Source organism: Homo sapiens, chromosome 22, assembly GCF_000001405.40.
Source record: "Homo sapiens chromosome 22, GRCh38.p14 Primary Assembly".
Classification (NCBI taxonomy): Eukaryota; Metazoa; Chordata; class Mammalia; order Primates; family Hominidae; genus Homo; species Homo sapiens.
In genome coordinates, this window is record NC_000022.11 from 23,985,075 (window position 1) to 24,005,500 (window position 20,426).

The 20,426-nt window shown below is 49.4% G+C and overlaps 1 protein-coding gene across 5 annotated transcripts; it reads right to left on the reverse strand.

Annotated features, from left to right (window-relative positions):
- Window positions 1-4,040: 4,040 nt before the first annotated feature.
- On the reverse strand, window positions 4,041-20,379 carry GSTT4 (glutathione S-transferase theta 4). 5 transcript variants are annotated; one of them, NM_001358664.2, is made up of 5 exons: window positions 20,171-20,379; window positions 18,686-18,773; window positions 16,101-16,251; window positions 15,001-15,177; window positions 13,327-13,665 (listed from the first exon to the last, which is right to left on the reverse strand). In NM_001358664.2, the coding sequence occupies exons 1-5, from the start codon at window positions 20,280-20,282 to the stop codon at window positions 13,468-13,470; spliced, it is 726 nt and encodes a 241-aa protein (NP_001345593.1). In that variant the 5' UTR covers window positions 20,283-20,379; the 3' UTR covers window positions 13,327-13,467. The 5 variants fall into 5 exon arrangements, 4 of the variants coding, with proteins under 4 accessions (XP_024307970.1, NP_001345593.1, XP_024307968.1 ...); XM_024452200.2 differs by lacking the exon at window positions 16,101-16,251 and adding an exon at window positions 19,107-19,248 and having other exon boundaries at window positions 15,001-15,259; XM_024452202.2 differs by lacking the exons at window positions 13,327-13,665; window positions 16,101-16,251 and adding an exon at window positions 4,041-4,141 and having other exon boundaries at window positions 15,001-15,259.
- Between the last annotated feature and the right edge of the window lie 47 nt (window positions 20,380-20,426).

A 20,426-nucleotide genomic window follows, 5' to 3' on the forward strand; every position in this document is an offset into this window, starting at 1 on the left:
AGACAGGGTTTTGAGACCAACCGGTCTCACCAAAATTTATTAGGCGGGAATTTCCTCTTCCTAATAAGCCTGGGAGCACTATGGGAGACTGGAGTCTATCTCACCTCTGCAGTCTCGACCATAAGAGAGAGGCCACGCCCGGGGGGCTGTTTATAAGCCGATACCTCCAGGTGCGTATTCTCTTTCTCAGGGACATTCCATGCTGAGAAAAAGAATTCAGCGATATTTCTCCCATTTGCTTTTGAAAGAAGAGAAATATGGCTGTGTTCTGCCCGGCTCACCGGTGGTCAGAGTTTAAGGTTATCTCTCTTATTCCCTGAACAATTGCTGTTATCCTCTTCTTTTTTCAAGGTGCTCAGATTTCATATTGCTCAAACACACATCCTGTACAATTTGTGCAGTTAATGCAATTATTAAAGGGTCCTGAGGCGACATACATCTTCCTCAGCTGACAGGATTAAGAGATTAAAGACAGGTATAGGAAATCATAAGGGTGTTGATTGGGGAAGTGATAAGTGTCCATGAAATCTTTACAATTTATGTTTAGAGATTGCAGTAAAGACAGGCATAAGAAACTATAATAGTATTAATTTGGGGAACTAATAAATGTCCATAAAATCTTCACACTCCACGTTCTTCTGTCATGGCTTCAGCCGGTCCCTCTGTTTGGGGTCACTGACTTCCTGTAACACCACTCCTAGCCGGAAGTATTCCAAGTAACCATTGCAACTGTCCTGCCTTAAGGGTGCCTGGTGATGGCTTCTGTCTTAGGTCCCATTCTGGCTCTCTCTTCCAGTGATTTCTCATACTTTGGGGGACACTCTGGCCTGCTTTCCTGGGCCTTTTCCATTACCACCCCCTCTCCCCATCAGGCACTGGGGATGGCGGCCACAGCCTATGCCTTCTTGATCCATGCTGGCTGCCTTGGGATTGTTCCTTATTGGATGGTTTTGCTTTCAACAGACACTCCAATAAAGTACACGAAATAAAGAATAAAGTTAAACAGTCAGTCCCCGTGCTGTGTAGGTGGCAGTAAGTCTGGGAGAGCGACCTCAGCTGAACTAACCATGCTGTGCATCATTGTCAAGCGGGACCAGCAGGATCCTTAGGTCACCTGGCAGGAGGAGGGGCAGGGAAGGGTCCCTAGAAGTGATCTTGAGTTGCACTTAGTGCTCTTGGCAGAGGGAAGGGCTTGGGCTAGTGCTGGAGGCATGAAGATGGGGTGTGTTCAGGGCTCTCCAGCAGTCCAGGCATGGGAAGGGGACGCTGAGGGCCAAAGGCTAAGGTGACACTGGGAAGGGAACCATAGCAAGGTGAGGAATGGCTTTCGGCCATGTGACTGAATTGCCTGTGTGTGGTGCGTGTGTACGTGTGTGAATGTCAGTGAACTGTGTGTGTGAACGTGAGTGAATTGTGTAACTTTGTTTATGTGTGGGTGTATATGTGTGTGATGTGTGTGAACTGTGTGTATGTGGGTGTATATGTGTGTGATGTGAGTGAACTGTGTGTATGTGGGTGTATATGTGTGTGGTGTGAGTGAACTGTGTGTAAGTAGGTGTATATGTGTGTGAATTTGAATGGTGTGTAAATGTGACTGAGCAGTGTGAATTTGTGTATGTGGGTGTATGTGTGTGAGTGAACTGTGTGATTTTGTTGGTGTGAATTGTGTGCCTGTGTGTGTGAGGTGTGTGTGTGTGTGTGACTGAACTGTGTGATGACTTTGTATTAATGTCAGTGAATGGTGTGGTTGTGTATGTGGGTGTATATGTGTGTGTATGTATGTGAATTGTGTGTGGGGTTGGTGTGTATGTGTGTCAATGTGAGTGAGTTGTGTGACTGTTGAATATGAGTGAATTATGTGATTGTGTGGGTGTATATGTGTGTACAGGAGTTAACTGTGTGACTGTGTGTAAATGTTATGATTGTGTGTGTGGGTGTATATGTGTGAATGTGATACATCGTGTGACTGTGGGTGGACGTGGGTGGATGTGTGTGTGAGTGTGCGTGGCTGTGTGTCGAACAGTGTGTGAGTGTAAGTGTGCAGGTGGTAGCTGTGGAATTAAGGCACATTAGGGGAATCCTTCCTTGGCTCTGGTCCTTGGTTTCCCTCCTATGAAACAAGTTGGGTGAATTAGGCAGTCTCTGGCATTCCAGGATTTGGTCTCAGGTCTAAACAGGATTTTGTAAAGTGAAAGCAGCATCCCTTGGGCATCCCGGGAGGTGTCCCTGCCCTCCATGGCTCACCTTCTGCCACATGGCCCAGCAGCAGCTACTCTGCAGGGCCATGTGCTGCCATGACAGGTACTGATCCCCATGGGCGCGGGCCTGCAGGTCCTGGAGGTACCAGTGGTCAGGTGCTTTGTACATGCAGCTCATATAGAGCAAGCTAGCCACACTGGGGGGACATGGCAGGGGCAGAAGACATGCCCTGAACACTCTTCAGCCATTTTCTGGGGCATTTTCACTATCCCCATGATGCAGAGGAGGGATGTGAGGCTCAGAGAGGTTAGGTAACTGCCCAGGGTCACACAGCCCTACACGGGGCCAGATTATCATCTCAACTAATGGCAGCAAGGAAGAAACAAAATGTCATGAACTTCAGCAGGGGCTCAGGGAAGGCTTCCAGGAGGAAGGGGCACCCAGTGTGAGTCTGAAGAATGAGAGCAAGTTGGGTATCTCCCCAACATATCCAAAGCATGGACAGGGCCAGGAGCAAGGCCAGCAGGGAGAGAGCCTTCCAGGTGACATGGCAGCATTGCTCCCCACCCCGTCCCATCTCCTGTTCACCTATGGTGAAGGGTTGTGCAGTCTGACCCCCAGAGCTCATCATGCCTCTATGGGTGTTGGACCATCCAGTGATCCCAGGCTCTGAATGTGAATCCAGCTCCACCAAGGAGGCACTATGTGGCCTCGGTAAAGGACGCCACCATGCGGCCACCAACCTGGAGGCTGGTTTTGGCTTTCATTTTTCCCACCCACCTCCAACCCTTCAGCACACCCTGCAGTTAGAGTTTCAAGAAAAGTCAGAACCGACCATCACCCCACCAACCCTGCACCACCACCACCTTGGTCTGGGGCTCCAGCGCTGCATGCCAGATGACTGCAGTGGCTTTCTCACCCCTGCCAGGGGGATCCTTTATGACGTAAGTCAGATCACAGTTCTCTGCTCAAAATACTCCAGCGACTCAATCCCCCTGCGGTAAGAGCCAAAGCCTTCCCAGTGTCCCATGCTCCCCTCTGTCGTGACCTCCTGCTCTTCCTGCTCACTACACCCACCCTGGCCCGTTGCTCTCCAGTCTGAACCCCATGCATTGTCCCACCTGGAGCCTTCGCCATCACTCTTCCCTCCAGCCAGAACACCCTTCTCCTCATGCCTTGCACATTCCTACAGCTCTCTGCTCAGATGCCACTTCCTCCAGGGAGTCTTCCCTCAACATCCTACTCACACACCCCCAATCTTACCCTGTTTATTTTTTCCATGGCATCCATCAACATCCGATATGTTCCATGTTTACATGGGTTACTGTCAGCTCCCCCTTCTATTAATGGAATGTGAGATCCATGAGGAGAAGGACGTAGACACGTTCACTGCTCAAGCCCCAGGGCTTAAATGGGGTCTGGCCCTGGTGGATGTTTAGCAAATAGCCACTGAAGCTCGCTGAGTGGTCCCTCGACTCTCCAGGGAAACAGCACTTGCCCCACAGGATTTGTGGGCAAAATGGTAGCACTAAGATGCCTGGTACAGCCGCTCCTCGAAACTTAGCACTCTCCTTTTTTCGGAGGGGAAGGCTGGCGGTGAGGAGGCCCGGAAGCAGACTGGGCCCTCTGGCCTTGTGCAAGTCCCTCCCCTCCTCCAGCCTCAGTTTCCTCACTTGTACAATGCAGGAGGGGACTTCTATAACCCTTGTCAACACTGGGTACCACTGCCTGCCTCCACCCATTCTTCACCCTGGGGCTGGTGCAGGGCCCACAGTCCATGATCCAAGCCATCAACAGTGAACAGACAGCCGACTGGCCCCACAAGGCCCGGCAGCAGCCCACGGACCGGTTACCTCTCAGCCAAGGTGAAGTCCCCATCCTTCAAGGCCCGGCACCTTCCTCAGGGGGTTCACCTGGGCAAAGGCATCGCTGTGCTGCTGGCCTGCAGGAGAGATCAGAGAGGTGAGTGGGGATAACCCAGAGTTCTCTGAGGTCTCTGCCCACCCCCACCCCAAAATCCCAGCAGCAGCTTTCTGAGGCCCCTATCTGGGAGGCATCAGGGAAGAGGAAGCCTCTCTGCTAGTCACTGGGTCACAGACCTTGACCCCATCAGAGGGCCATCTTTCCTGTGTCCAGCTCCTTGAAGCATGGCTCAAGGACAATTCCCTGGAGCTGTAATTCACACCCCACCCCCAGCCAGTTCCATCCATAGGTCAGACCCCTCCAGCCTCCTCCCTGGGCTCTAGGCTTGCCCCCTCTGATTCAGCTTCCTATCCCAGCTGGGGACTTAGGCCCTACTGGCCAGGCTGGGTGACCTGTCAATACCCCAGAGTCCCAGCCAAACATGTTCCCAACCCTCAGACCAACCTCATTCTTGCTGGGAATCCCTGCCCCATTCAGCCACTCAGCCCCCGGTGGCTCAGCTCTTCTTCCTTTCTTATGCCAAACTCTCAAGGCTCCCTCCCCACTGGGGGTTCCCAGGTCTGACTCACTTTAGCATTCTAGGCCAGTGCTAGAGGCCGCATTAGGTGCCTGGTGTTTGGATCAGAGGACCTCAGTCAAGCCAGGCTCCAGTCTGATCATAGGCCTACATGTGGGCCTCTTTGCCCTTCTACTGAATGGACATGCACACCCCTGCCCATTCTCCCTCCACAGACTGCTTCTGTGTCCAGCCCCTGTTCTGTAGCAGGTGACTCAAGCTGGTTGTACCAAGGGCAGCAGTTGGGAAGAGTCAGCTGAGCAGGGTCCTCCCTCTGGCCTGCCCAGGGGGCTCTGGCTCTGCTCTCTGCCCTACTGCTTAGTTATAGCCCTGCCTCCTCCACTGAATTGTGCTCCAGCTGCATCTCTGTATGCCAGCCAGACCAGCAAACGCTGGAGCTCAGGGTGAGGGTGCTGGCCTCCCCCACTGCCCTGCCACAGGGCCCTCCAGCCTCTAGCCTCTAGGAGTAGCCCCTTCAGCTGGGTGAGAAGCCCCATGGGATAGAGCAAGTCAGATGCAGGAAAAAGAAAAGGCAGAAGAATGCCAAGAAATACATAAAAGTGGAAGAGACCCAGGGCCAGACATGGTGGTGCATGTCTGTGATCTCAACACTTTAGAAGGAGGAGGCAGGAGGATCACTTGAGCTCAGGAGCTCAAGGTCAGCCTGGTCTACATGGCAAAATCACGCGTCTACACACACCAAAAAAAAAAAAAAAAAAAGTAGCTGGGCACGGGGACGTGCCTGTAGTCCCAACTATTCTACTTAGGAGGAGTAAGTTGGGAGGATCACTTGATCCTGAGAGGTCAAGGCTGCAGTGAGCCGGGATCATGCCACTGCCCTCTAGCCTGGGCTGCAGATTGAGACACTGTAATAAATAAATAAATAAATAAATAAATAAATAAACAAACAAACAATAAAAAAGTGGAAGAGACACAGGCAGGGGTAGACAGGGACTATTTTACTTAGGAAACAACGAGGCAGTTTGTTTTTTCCAAGCACATGGGGTGAAGATATTCTTGCCCCACTCCATTTCCCTACCCTCGTTCTGTGCCTGCTGTGCCCTCTCTAAACCTGTATTTTGAAGAATGTTTTGTATTCACAAGCAAAGATCAAGCCTCTATTAAAATAGACAACCAGTGGGGCATGGCGGCTCATGCCTGTAATCCCAACACTTTGGGAGGCCAAGGCAAGAGGATCACTTGAGCCCAGGAGTTCTAGGCCAGCCTCGGAAACACAGCAAGACCTCCTCTCAATAATAATAATAATAATAATAAATTGGCCAGGCATGTCGGTGGGCACCTGTAGTCCCAGCTACTTGAGGGGCTGAGGCGGGAGGATCGCTTAAGCCTGGAAGGTCAAGGCTGCAGTGAGCCATGATTGTGCCACTGCACTCCAGCCTGAGTGACAGAGTTAGATGCTGTCTCCAAAAAGTAAAAATAATAACATAGATAATTATGTAATAGTTTCCACACCGGAGAGTCTGATTCTTCGTGTTAGTCTGCATTCTTGGCCCGACTGCAAAGCAGCGGGGACAGGCAGGGATTCGTGGCCAATATCCCCTGGGCCTGCCTGCCCAGCCCAGCTTTGGTCAGCTCCACTGTGCGAAGCTCGAAGGGGATGCCATTCTTGGCGAAGATGTAGACTGAACGGCAGGGCTGGGACAGCAGACCCATGGCGGGGGCAATGGGGTGGGGCGTCGGAGGGCAGACCTAAACCCAGGGGACGGGCCCTGGGGACAAACCCGGGGACAGGCCCGGGAACAGGAACTGCGGGCAGGAATGGCTGGTTGGGGGCGGCGGACAGGAACGGCTGGGGGTAGGTGAGGGATGGGCAGGAACTGCTGGGTCACCGAGCCTGCAGCGGTGCACCTCACCAGGAGCCCCGAGTCCGGCCACGCCCTCTTCACTCATCCCTTGGCTCCTAGAACTTTGGGTCAATCAGTGGCGTGTCTGCTCTCTCACCACCCCTTTCTGGGAATCTAGGCTGCAGGTATATTTCCCACTAAAAGGGAAGAGGAGAGGCTGGGCGCGGTGGCTCACGCCTGTAATCCCAGCACTTTGGGAGACCGAGGGGGGTGGATCACGAGGTCAGGAGATCGAGACCATACTGGCTAAAACGGTGAAACCCGTCTCTACTAAAAATACAAAAAATTAGCCGGGCGGGGTGGCGGGCGCCTGTAGTCCCAGCTACTCGGGAGGCTGGGGCAGGAGAATGGCGTGAACCCGGGAGGCGGAGCTTGCAGTGAGCCGAGCTCACGCCACTGCACTCCAGCCTGGGCGACAGAGCCATACTCCGTCTCAAAAAAAAAAAAAAAAAAAAAGGAAGAGGAGAAAGGAGGTGCAGCAGCCTCCTTGCCCAGTGCCTGGGCCCAGTGCCCAGGACGGAGGCCAGAGAGGAAGGGTGGCTGACTGCCTGCGGGGCTGCCAGCCCCACACCTCATGAAGGAATGAGCTGTCCCTCCCCAGTTGCTGGGGTCATATTTGTTACACTCTAGCTAACGCCTCCCCGAGATGGCTGAGGCCCTGTGAGGCCTATCCAGAGGTTTCCAACAGTGCCTGGCATTGCACAGTAAATTAATCACCATGACACGAGTTTTGCAAAAGAGAAAAGATTTATTCACAGGGCACCAAGCAAGGATGTGGGATAGTAGCTCTCAAATCCACCTTCCCGAAAATAAGGCTTAGGGATAAGCCTTGCTTCCAAGCAGTAGAGCACAGGCCCCAGCCACACTCAAGGGGAGGGGACCATACAAGGATGTGAATAGCAGTGTCGGCCTTGTGGGCCTACAACGCAGAAGGGCCATGCACTTGGTTTAAAGCTTTGCTGTTGCCATCTTAACATTCTTAACAAGTTAAAAATAAGGGTCCCCACATTTTCATTTATAGCCAGTCCTGTCCAAGGAGTTCAAAGATCTCATGAGGGTGGACAGGGCACTGTCTGCTCTGGGCAGTGATGGGACCACTAACAGTTGTTCTCCAGTCTCCCAGCGCCTACCCCAGGGCCACACCTTCCCCTGGTCTCTACTATTCTTTTTTTTTTCGAGACAGGGTCTTGCTGTTGCCCAGGCTGGAATGAGTGCAGTGGTACAAACTTAGCTTACTGCAGCCTCGACCTGGGCTCAAACAATCCTTCTGCCTTACCCTCCCATGTAGCTCAGACCACATGCGCATGCCACCAATCTGGGCTAATTTTTTGACTTTGTAGAGACGGGGTCGCACTTTGTTTCCCAGGGTGCTCTTGAATTCCTTGGCTCAAGTGATCCTCCCACCTCAGCCTCCCACAGTGCTGGGATTATAGGTGTGATCCACCACCCCTGGCCTCTCTCACATTCTTGACATTTAAAGTTACCATCATTGACAAGGAACATGGGTACACTCCAATTTACTCAAGAAAAAGCTCTTTTCTCCATTGAAGACATATGTGGCCTAGCTGCTTCATATTCTAGTTGAGGTCTTCTTGTTGTTTCCTTTTTCTTCTTCTCTCTTGTTTTTTAGAGACGAGGTCCTGCTGCGTTGCCCAGGCTGGTCTCAAAGTTCTAGCCTCAAGAGACCCTCCTGCCTTGTCCTCCCAAAGTGTTGGGATTACAGGTGTGAGCCACTCTGTCCAGCCTCAAACTGTGGTCATTAGATCAGCAGCAGTAGCAGCCTTGCCTGGGAGCTTGTTAGAAATATACTAACAGGCTCCCACCCCCAAACCCAGACCTACTGAATCAGACAGAGTTTATTTTCATAAGATCCTCAGGTGATCCAAATGCACCTTAAACTTTGAGGAGCTTTGATTCAGAACCTGGGCTGGAGGCCCCTAGGGGCCACCTTGTTCCTCACAGACTGCAAGGTATGTTTTTTTCTTGCCTCTTCTCTCTGTCCCAATGTCTCCTTCTCTCTGTGTCTGACCCTGAGGACCCTGTGACATCCTCCCAGGGGAGTTTCCACTGCCAAAGGCCTGATTCTCTAGAAACTGATGGGCTCCTCTAGACACCAATCTCTACCTGGGCTCTTGTTGAAGAAGCCAATCAGCTCATTGGTTGGCGATCACGTGATATACAACATGGCTGCCTTCCAAGCCTTATGTGTGGACAAGGAGATAGGGACAAGTAGGCATATCATGTTCTGATACCTGGGCCATCGTCTCTCCTCAGGCCCCCAGGATACACGTTTATGGGGAGTTTTCCTCCCTTCCCCCAATATGGTCACTCATAACTTTACACCCAACAGTCAAACAGGGGTGGAAGCTACAGGGTTTCATGTAAACAATAGGCTAGGCTGTGGGGCTGAGTAAAAGGCACTGGACTGTGGTAGGTCTTACTCCAAGATGGCCAAATGGAAGGGCTTTTAGCTTTCTTTGTTTTTGTTTTATATTTTGAGATATAATGTTCAAATTTACACTTCAGAATAAAAAAGAGCCACAATTTATGCTTCATATTTTTTGTAGCTTCTTCCCTATGCTTTTGAACAATGTAATCATATTTTCATTATCAGATATAATTCCCATACCATAATATCCACCCTTTCAAAGTATACTTTAAAATTCAATTGGTTTAAAGCCAATTCAGTGGTTTTTAGTATATTAACAAAGTTTTGTCACCATCACAGTTATCTAATTCTAGATCATTTTCATCACCCAAAAAGAAACTCTGTACCCAATAAAGAGTCACTCCCCATTCCCCTCTTCCCCTAGCCCCTGGTTACCATTCATCTACTTTCTACCTCTGTGGATAGGAAGTAGCTGCCTATTCTGGAGATTTCATTCAAATGTAATAATGAAATATGTGGCCTTTTATGACTGGCTTCTTTCATTTAGCATAATGGTGTCAAGGTTCATCCATGTTGTAGCATATAACGGTACTTCATCCCTTCTTATGGCTGAATAATATTCAATTTTATGGACTTTTTAGCAAAACATTCTAATTTTTACTTCTCTACTGTGCTTATTGTTTGTCTTTCTCCACAACAATGTGAGCACTAAAGGCAGACATTTTTGCCTATTTTGTTCACTACTGCTTTTTCTGCACCAAACGCATTGCCTGGTTGTGGGTACTTTTCTAGTTTTAGGAAGGAGAAGACAAGATATAGGTCCTGACTCTGGTTCTGCCTCTCATTCATATGCTACCCTTCCCCTTGAAGAACTTGTTTCTTCATCTACAAAATGGGCATAATACTACTACTCATCAGGGTGGTTGTGAGGATTAAACAAGGTAAGAGATGTAAAATTGCATGTTAGTTATCAGATAGATTTGTGTTCCCATCTAGCTCCAATGAGGGAGAGGATTTGCTCTAGTCTGTCCCTCTGGGCTCTGGGCTTCTAATGGGCAGACAGCTTCCTCCATGATGTTTGTAGCTGTTAAGGCTGGCGTAGTCCCTCAAGACAAGTTTTTTTTTTGTTTGTTTGTTTTTTTTTTGAGTCAGAGTATCGCTCTGTCACCAGGCTGGAGTACAGTGGTGCGATCTTGGCTCACTGCAATCTCTGCTTCCCGGATTCAAGCGATTCTCCTGCCTCAGCCTCCTGAGTAGCTGGGATTACAGGCATACGCCACCACACCCAGCTAATTTTAAGACAAGCTTTTGGAATTGAACTGCTGATGGTCTTCCATGAACAATTCAACAGAAACCCAGTAGCGTACACTTCCTTGTATGCACTTGCACCCTCTCTTTACATTTATTACACATTTAATGCTACCTAATAATTCCCTATACTTTTACTTTATCCAATCGTTCAACAGATTCCAACCGAAATACATAGAAGAGTGATATTCCAACTTCATCAGACCCTGAGATTCTATTTTTAACATTTCTTCCATGGATTGTTGAATGTTTCCAATGATTGATCCACCTTCCCTTGGCCTTTTCTACATTACAGATTTGGTGGCATGTCCATGTCTATGTTGCCAAACTTGCCTCATAGACCCAGCTTGAACACAAGATGGGTGCTTGCTGAAGAGCAGGACTCATTCTGTTGAACCTGCATGTTTTCTCAGGTCAGATTGCTTGGTGGCGCTTCTTTAATTTCTTTCAACAGCACATTGTAGTTTGCTGTGTTGAAATGTTGCTTTTCTTTGGTTAAATTTATTCTATTTTATTCTTTTTGATGGTATTATAAATGGAAGTGTGGTTTTAATTTTGTTTTTCATCCTTTATTGCAAATGTATACTATTGATTTTTGTGTATTAATCTTGTACCCTGCAACCTTGCTGAACTTATTTTATTTTATTGAGATGGAGTCTCAGTCAGTCACCCAGGCTGGAGTGCAGTGGCTTGATCTTGGCACACTGCAACCTCCACCTCCTGGGCTCTGGTGATTCTCCTGCCTTTGCCTCCTGAGTAGCTGGGACTACAGGCATGCGCCACCACGCCCGGCTAATTTTTGTATTTTTAGTAGAGACGGGGTTTCACCATATTGGACAGGCTGGTCTCAAACTTCTGACCTCATGATCTGCCCGCCTTGGCCTCCCAAAGTGCTGGGATTACAGGTGTGAGCCACCGTGCCCAGCCTTGAACTTGTTTATTAGCTCTAATGGTTTTTAAGTGAGTTAAGAATTTCTGTAATGTCATCTGTGAATAGAGATGGTTTTACTTCTTTCTTTCTGATCTAGATTCCACCTTGTTCCTTTTTCTTGCCTAATTGCCCTAATAAGTAGAAGTAGTGTGAATGAACATTCTTGTCCTGTTCCTGATCTTAGGGGGGAAACGCTTGATCTTTCACAATGGATGAAGTATGGTGTTAGTTATAGGTTTTTCATAGATGCTTTTTGTCAAGTTGAGGAAGTTCCTTTCTCGTCTTCATCTGCTGAGTAATTTTATCGTAAAAGGATGTTAGGTTTTGTCAAATGCCTTCTGTGCATTAGGATGATCATGTGACTTTCTATTAACATGGTATGCTACACTGATTGATTTTTGTATGTTGAACTGCATTTGTACTCCTGGGATAAATCCTACCTGGTCAAGGTGTATGATCCTTTTAATATGCTGCTGGATTTGATTTGCTAATATTTTGCTGAGGATTTTTACATCTATATTTATAAGGATATTGCTTTGTAACTTTATTTTCTTGTAATGTCTTTTTCTGTCTTTGGTATCAGAGTAATTCTGGCCTCATAGTATGAGTTGAAAAATATTTCTTCCTGTTTTATTTTTTTGGAAGAGTTTGTGAAGGCTTTGTGTTAGTTCTTCAAGCTTTTGGTTGAATTCACCAGGGAAGCCATCTGGTCCTGGGCTTTTCTTTGTGGAATTTTTAAAAATAATTAATATTTTAATCTCTTTATTTGTTACAGGCCTATTAAAATTTTATCTTTCTTCTTAAGTCAGTTTTGGTAGATTGTGTGTTTCTAAAATTTTCCCATTTCATCTAGGTTGTCTAAATTGTCCACATATAGTTATTCATAGTATTTCTAAACTTTTGAATTTCTCTATGACCAATGTGATGTCTCCATTTTCTTTCTTTCTGGTTTCCATTTCATTTTTTCATTTTTGTTTTTGTTTGTTTTTTGAGATAAGGTTCTTCTATGTGCCCAGGCTGGAGTGCAGTGGTGCAATCATAGCTCGGTGTAACCTTGAACTCTTGGACTCGAGTGATCCTCCCACCTCGGCCACCCAGTTAGCTAAGACTACAGGCTTGCACCACCACACCAAGCTAATTTTTTTAAAAAATATATTTTTTAGAAAAAAGTCTCATTGTGTTACCCAGGCTGTTCTCAATCTCCTGGCCTCAAGTGATCCTTCTGCCTCTGCTTTCCAAAGTGCTGGGATTGCAGGTGTGAGCCATTGCACCCAGCCTCCACTTTCTTTCTTGGTGAATAATTTGACCCTTATTTTTTTCACTTGGCTATTCTAAGTAAAGGTTTGCCAATTTTGTTGATCTTTGCAAAGATCCAATTTTTGGTTTTATTGATTTTATTGCTTTTCTATTTTCTATTTCATTTATCTCCATTCTAATCTTTATTATTTCCTGTTTTCTAGTGGTGTTGGGTTGAGTTTGCTCTTATTTTTCTAGTTCCTTAAGGTGTAAAGTTAGGTTATTGATTCAAGATCATTCTTCTTTAACTTATGTGTTTACAGCTATAAATTTTGCTCTTAGAACTGCTTCTGCTGCATCCTATAAATCTGGGCATGTTGTGTTTTCATTTTTATTTGTTCAGGATACTTTTTGATGTCCCTTGTGATTTCTTCTTTAACCCATTTGTTGTTTAAGAGTGTGCTGTTTAATTTCTATGTGCTTGTGAGTTTTCTAGTTTTCCTTCTGTTCTTGATTTTTAACTTTATTCCACTGTGTCCAGAGAACATACTTTGTGTGATTTCAATCATCTTAAATTTGAGACTTAGGACCAAATATATGCTCTATACTGGAGAATATTCCATGTGCTCTTTAGAAGAATGCTTATTCTGCTCCTGTCGGGTGGAACGTTCTGTTCATGTCTAGTGTATGCGATTGGTTAATCGTGCTTTTCAAATTCCCTATTTCCTTGATGGTCTTCTGTAGTTTTTCTATTACTGAAAGTGGGGTATTGAAGTCACCAACTATTATTACTCACAATGTAACCATATTTAACCCTTTACTTTTAAAATTCTTTTTGGAAACTGGAAGGATCTGTAACCACCACCCACTCCCACATCAGACCCTATGCATATGCCAACTGTCTGCTGCTCAGCAGCTGTGATGGTTGTTCCAGTTCTTTATTAGGCAAAGAACAGTTGTTTTTTTGTTTTTTTGTTTTTTTTTTTTTAACATTTCCTTTAAGGAAGGTGGCTCAGATTGCTAAGCCAGCCAGGCCCTGCGGGACAGGCTGCGCCTAGGGTCACCTGCTCTTCTTCAGCAACTCAGAAATATTCTCCTTGACCATTGAATCCAATGTTGAAAAGTCCCAGTCGGCCAACTGCATTAGTCGATCATGGGCCTCCCTAAAGAGGCCAGAGCCAATATTCAGCTCCACCTGCATACGCCACTCAGCTAGCTTGGAGCTGTTGAGGAAGACATTATAGTTGGCTGCCATGGGCTGTAGATAGACGAAGACAAAGACGTGGTCAGCCTGGGGACCAGCCCCACCTGGGTCCTCTCCCACAGCCTCAGGCCCACGTCCCTAACATCTACCTATGCAAAGAATTAGGCTGCTGACCCCCAAGGCCTGAGCAAGGGGTCACAGACTATGTAATAGATGTAGGTGGGGATGGAGGATCCAGAATCCCTCAGAGTCCTCAGTCACTGGTCTTCTTGCTCCAAGCCTTCTGAACCATGCTGAGAGGGCTCCTGGCCCAGGCACTTCCCACTTCTCCAGCCTGCGACCTCGCATGAATCCTGCCTTCTTCCAGGGAGACCCCTTATCCCAGGTGTGTATATGTGGATGAGGGAGAGAACTCAGGTTTTTTCCTCCATGTTTAGCCTCCCACTGTGATCAAGCTCAGGGGCTAGGATGGGAGACCTGGCGGGCAGTCTACCCTGCAGTTTCGCTGGCTTACTAAGAGTTTGGTTTGCACCCAAGATCTTTGGGAAGCCCAAGAATGGGTGTGTGTGGGTGAAATGTAAGGGGTGGGGACGAAGCATATGGCTGAACCCTTGGGGCAGGCCAGAATGATTTTTCCTGGTGCTGGTCTGCCCTGCAAACAGACCAAGGAGACTAATTTTCATATCAGCCAGAGATCTCTGGGATAAGGAAAAGAATACTGCATTTTCTGGTCAATCCACCAGGACCCCAGGTCCCTCCTCTCGGGCATATCTCTGGCTGATATGCAAATTAGTCTCTTTGGTCAGTGTGCAGTGCCCTAGCTGGTGTGCAGGATGGCCAGTTGAGACCCTGGCCAGTGTCTTGACAAGCAGAACTGGTCACCCTCCCCTGCATGTAGAGGCCACATAAATGCCCCACACTCAGGTGTGCCTCCAAATGCACAGTGGATGCCCCTCAGACCCAGCCACGAGAGCTGTCCTCCAGAGCTGTCTGTCTGGAGCTCTGGGAAACAGGCAGGGCCAGAAGGACACCCAGGAAGCCAGTGAACATTTCCTGGAGAGTCCAGCAAGAGGAGGAGGTATCTGGGATGCCGGTGGATTGAGCAGGAAATGCAGTGTTCTTCTCTATCCCAGGCTCACCCTCCGGGTCCTCCCACACCGAAGAATCTTTGTCAAGTGTGGAGAACTGTGATCCTTCCTGATTCATAACATTCTGTGCTTCCTGTTGCCCCGATTGAGTCCAGGCCCCCAGGCCTGGTTCCCGCAGCCCCCATGGCAGCTCTGCCTGCCTTTCCCGCCTCACCAGCCTATCCTCAAGTGATGGCCCCATTGGTCACAGAGGAGTCCTACCTCTGCCCAGGGTCTAACCCTCCTCCAATCCACTCCACACCTGCATCATCTCCACCACGGCCACCAGGTCAGCCAGTGAGATTTGGTTCCCGGTGATGAACATCTTATCCTGCAGAAAATACTCCTCAAAGAGCTGCAGGCTGTTCTTCACCTCTTCCACTGCATGCTCCATCTTCTCAGCTGAAACTTCCTCCCCTGTTATCTTTGGGATCAGCAACTGGCCAGGGTTGGGAAGAGGAGGGAAGAGGAGGCTGCACTCCAGGGCCACCTGCCCTGCCAGGTCTCTGTACTCTTGTCTGCTGGATAGATATTGAACACTTCCCAGGATATAAAGCAGTTTCACCTCTTTTAGCAGTTCTGATTGGTGGAAGTTGCTGGGAACCATGTGTTCACAAGGATTTGGGGAGCTCAGCAGGCATAAGTCCTGTGATTGATTAGTGATGTCTGTCACAGGCATAGAATTCAAAGTAGAGACACATGTACTGGTTATTTGTCATCTTCTAATTTTCTATAGGCCATACTCTTTTTTGTTTTTGTTTTTTGAGATGGAGTCTCACTCTGTCGCCCAGGCTGGAGTGCAGTGGCACAATCTTGGCTCACTGCCAACTCCAACTCCTGGGTTCAAGCAATTGTCCTGCCTCAGCGTCCTGAGTAGCTGGGATTACAGGTGCCCATCACCACACCCAGCTAATAATTTTGTATTTTTAGTAGAGATGGTGTTTCACAATGTTGGCAAGGTAGGTCTTGAACTCCTGACCTCAAGTGATCTGCCCGCCTCGGCCTCCCAAAGTACTGGGATTACAGTTGTGAGCCACCGTACCCGGCCTTCTGTGGGCCTTTTGACGCTGAGATTCTCTAGTTCAGAATGAAATGCCTCGAATGCTGTCCTGGGTGAGTCACATCAGCCCCTCCCGTATGCCCTTCCCCTCGCCCTAATAAGACTCTTTCATGCCCATTGTTTCAGTCCACACTCCTGACGGCTCTGTAAGGCGGGCAGGAGAAGGAGCTGAGGAAATGAGGCCCAGAGAGGGAGGGAGACTTGCTTGAGGTCGCCGGCAGTCAGCAGGGCCAGAACTGGCCTCCAGCCTTCCTGACTTCCCTGTGCCCGTGTCCCCAAGCCCCAGAAGTGGCCCTGCTCACCTTGAGCCAGACTATCTTCTTCATGGGCAGCTGAAAGGCCGTGTGTTGCCAAGCCACGAACTCATCCACACGGGCACGTGCGTGCGGGTCTGGCGGGCACCAGTGCGATGGTGCGCTGTACTTGCGGCACAGGTAGTAAAGGATGGCCGCGCTGCAGAAGGGGCCGGTCAGGGGCACTGCCCTTGCCTTCCTGAGTGCCACTACATCAACCACCCCGGTGTGGCCTGGGCCCAACTGCTGGGGCTTCCAGAGCAAAGAGGAGCCCAAACGGCCCCGAGAAAGACCTTCACCAGAGCTGTCTGTCTGACAGTCAGTAAGGGCTGGGAAGGAGCCCTGCGGGGTGAGTAGGAGTTGGGGGCTGGTGGTATAACAAAGAGTAGGCCAGCAGGGGGAACAACACGTGTTGAATTGGGATGCTGAGGTGGGAGGATCACTTGATCCCAGGAATTTGGGGCTACTGTGAGCCAAGATCACACCACTGCACTCCAGCTTGGGTGAAAGATCAAGATCCTTTTTCAAAAACAAAAACGGGGGGGCACGATGGCTCACACCTGTAATCCCGGCACTTTGGGAGGCCAATGGGGGCAGATCCCTTGAGGCCAGGAGTTGGAGACCAGCCTGGCCAACATGGTGAAACCCTGTCTCTACTAAAATGAAAATACAAAAATTAGCTAGTTGTGGTGGCACACACCTGTAATCCCAGCTACTTGGGAAGCTGAGGCACGGGAGTCACTTGAACCTGGGAGGCAGAGGTTGTAGTGAGCCAAGATTGTGCCACTGTACTCCAGCCTGGGCCACAGAGCAAGACTCTGTCTCAAAAAACCAACAAAGAAAAACACATGCTGAAATACGAGGGTAAAGGGAGCAAGGTAAATCTGAAGAAAAGAGAGTAGGGGGTTGCAACTGGAAGAAGGGTGGGGGTGATTGGGGAGTGATGAGGCAGCCAGAGACACTGTGGAGTCCACGTAGGGTAGCCCCTGGAGGTGCAGGGAGGTTATGGACTTAATGCTTAAGATTAGGCATTATATAAGCCAGGGCATGAAAGGATCCATCTCTCTGGTGCTGGATGGAGGGTGAGCCCGAGGGGGCAGAATGGACAATGAGGGGGCCAGCAACTATCGGGAAGGTTGTGGTGTCTGGGAATGTTGGAGGCCATGGGGACAGAGGGAAGGGGATGGAGGGGAGACATGCTTCGGAGGGGATGTCCTAGGCCTTGCTGATTGATGGCTGGTGTGGGAACCTCCGCAGAACAAGGGCTCCTTTATCATCACCAGCAGCAACCATGCCAAGGTAAAAAGGTCAGGGCATGGAGAGAGCTATCGGTTAAAAAGTGGCAGGAGAGACAGCAACTGGCTGCAAGACTCAGAACTTCTTGGCTGGGCACGGTGGCTCACGCCTGTAATCCCAGCACTCTGGGAGGCCGAGGCGGGGGGATCATGGGGTCAGGAGATCGAGACCATCCTGGTTAACACAGTGAAACCCCGTCTCTACTAAAAATACAAAAAAATTAGCCAGGCATGGTGGCGGGCACCTGTAGTCCCAGCTACTCAGGAGGCTGAGGCAGGAGAATGGCGTGAACCCGGGAGGCGGAGCTTGCAGTGAGCCAAGATAGCGCCACTGCACTCCAGCCTGGGCAACAGAGCGAGACTCCGTCTCAAAAAAAAAAAAAAAAAAAACTTCTTTGGATCCTGATCCAAACAAACTGCCAAGAAAATGTTTAGGAGATAATCATAGAGTTTTGAACAGGAGCCACATATTAGATGAAATCCAGGAATTATTGTTAATTTTATGAGGTATCTTAATGGTATCGTAGTGATGCTACGCTCTATCCTAGCCCAGGCTGGAGTGCAGTGGCGCAATCAGAGTTCACTGCAGTTCTGAACTTCCTGGCCTCAAGCGATCCTCCCGTGTCAGCCTCTGGAAGTGCTGGGATTATAGGCATGAGCCACCACACCCAGCCTGTTGCTTTTTTTTTGTTTGTTTTAAGAACTCTTATCTCTGAAAAGTATGTTCCTAAACATTTATTGATTTATTTACTTATTTATTTTTATTTTTGAGATGGGATCTCACTCTGTTGCCCACGCTGAAGTGCAACGACGCAGTCTTGGCTCACTGCATCCTCTGCCTCCTGGCTCAAGCAGTCTTTCCGCCTCAGCCTCCCGAGTAGCTGGGACTACAGGTGCAGACCACCATGCTGGCTAATTTTTGTATTTTTTGTAGAGATGGGGTTTTGCCATGTTGTCTAGGCTAGGCTGGTCTTGAACACGTGAGCTCAGGCCATCCCCTCACTTCAGCCTCTCAAAGTGCTAGAATTACAGGCATGAGCTGGCTTCTAAACATTTATGAATGGAATGATGGGGTGTCTGGGAGGCAGGGGAATAGAAATGATGTAAACTGGACCCCAAGTTGGCAAGAGTCAGAGCTGGGCGATGGATTTGTGGGGTTCCTCGTGTCCCTCATTAGTTAGTATTCACTCTCCTTTAGTGCACGTGTGAGATTTTCCATGGTCAAACAGACAAATGCTTGCACTGAACCTCCCAGGAGAAGCAGAGACAGATGGTGCAAGGGCCCCAGGGAAGACTTACCTTTCACTTAAGATAAATTTCCCATCTTTGAGGCTGGGCAGCTTCCTGAGGGGGTTGATGTCAATGTATCCTTTGCTGTGGTGGTGACCTGGGAGGGGCAGGGAAGGTCTGAGGCTGTGGGACTCCAGGGGAGAGAGAACTGAGACTCCCAGAGACCCAAACGCCTCCCTCTCTATTTTCTCAAGAAGAGGGAACTGAGGCCCGGAGGGACATTGCGTCTCACCCCAGGTCACAGGGCAAGGCAGTTGCAGAACCGGACTGCGATCAGAACTGCTGGCTCCCAGCCTGCTCCACCCTAGGTTTGGTGACTCCCGTGCCTCCTACCTGTGTCCCAGGACCAGGACGACCCTTTTACCCAGAAGCTGGAGGCCTCCAGTGCCCACCCCCAAAGCTGGATCTGAAAACACAGCCTTTGAATCACCTGAAGCCCTGAGGGCCTGGGTCCCATCCGCAATCCCATCGCTCTCACTCTGTCTCCACTTTAAGGAAGCCAGGCCCAGCACACAGCTGGACATCCAAAGGGAAGCTTCTCGGACACAATCAGGGTCATCTTAACAGGGAACCTGAGGTGGGGGCAGGAACTGAAACTCTTCCTGGACCAGCCGCCTCCAGTTGGAAACATTTCTGGGGGCTCCACTCGCAGCCCGTTCATTTCCACAGCTTCCCTGTCTCTTCCTCTGTGTTCTAGAGGCTTCTGCTTTTGCAGGCTGAGCTTTTGGAGTCCCTCTGTGCTGGGGATGGAGTTGGAGCCCACCCCTCTGACCCTCACTCAGGGTTAGTGGAGCCCTGAGCCTTTCTCAACACTGGGGAGGATGGGTGTAGACGGACTGTGCACTTCTGCCCCCTTTGCCAACCTGGTGGGCAGGTGCTGAGTTCACAAGGTCCTAGAATCCCACAAGGAAGCCAGGGTGCCTGGTGGGAGCCCAGGGAGTCCCAGCTACTGTTCCTTCCCCCTTCTCCTCGAAAAGCCTGTTCATCTGTGGCGTGGGGACTGTCATTAGTGAGCACTGACTAAGGTAGGCTGGACAAGGATGCAGCCTACAAGCCGCGTGGCATCTTTTCCTTCCCTGTGGACCTCTGGGGTGATTCCCTTGTCTCTGTCTCTGCTCCTCAGAAACGCCCCTATCAGGCTGTGCGCGGTGGCTCACGCCTGTAATCCCAGCACTCTGGAGGCTGAGGTGGGCAGATCACTTGAGGTCAGGAGTTTGAGACCAGCCTGGCCAACATGGTGAAACCCCTGTTAAAAATACAAAAAATTAGCTGGGCGTGGTGGCATGCACCTCTAATCCCAGCTACTTGGGAGGCTGAGGCAGGAGACGCACTTGAACCCAGCAGAGGTTGCAGTGAGCCGAGATAGCACCACCGTACTCCATGCTGGGCAACAGAGCGAGACTCCATCAAAAAACAAGAAAAAAAGAAAAGCCGCAATCTGTGTGTCCTGCCTCCCCCCAGGACCAGGCCTGCCAGGCAGCAGTGGGAGTTGACCTTTCAGCAGATCCACAAACTGAAAGTTGAACTGGATGTCATGCTTCTTCGAGAAGATGTAGACGGCACGGCAGGGTGCTGACAGCAGGTCCATGTAGAGCTCCAGTGCCATGTTGAGACACATGCCAGGCCCCACAGCCGCAGTTGGCCAGCCACAGACCTGGGCCTATGTCTGGCCAGAGTCCCTGGCCCTGTGCCCTCTCCGATCTGGGCCCAGGATCCTGTGTTCCCCAGGGAAACCTCTTGTTTCCCTTTG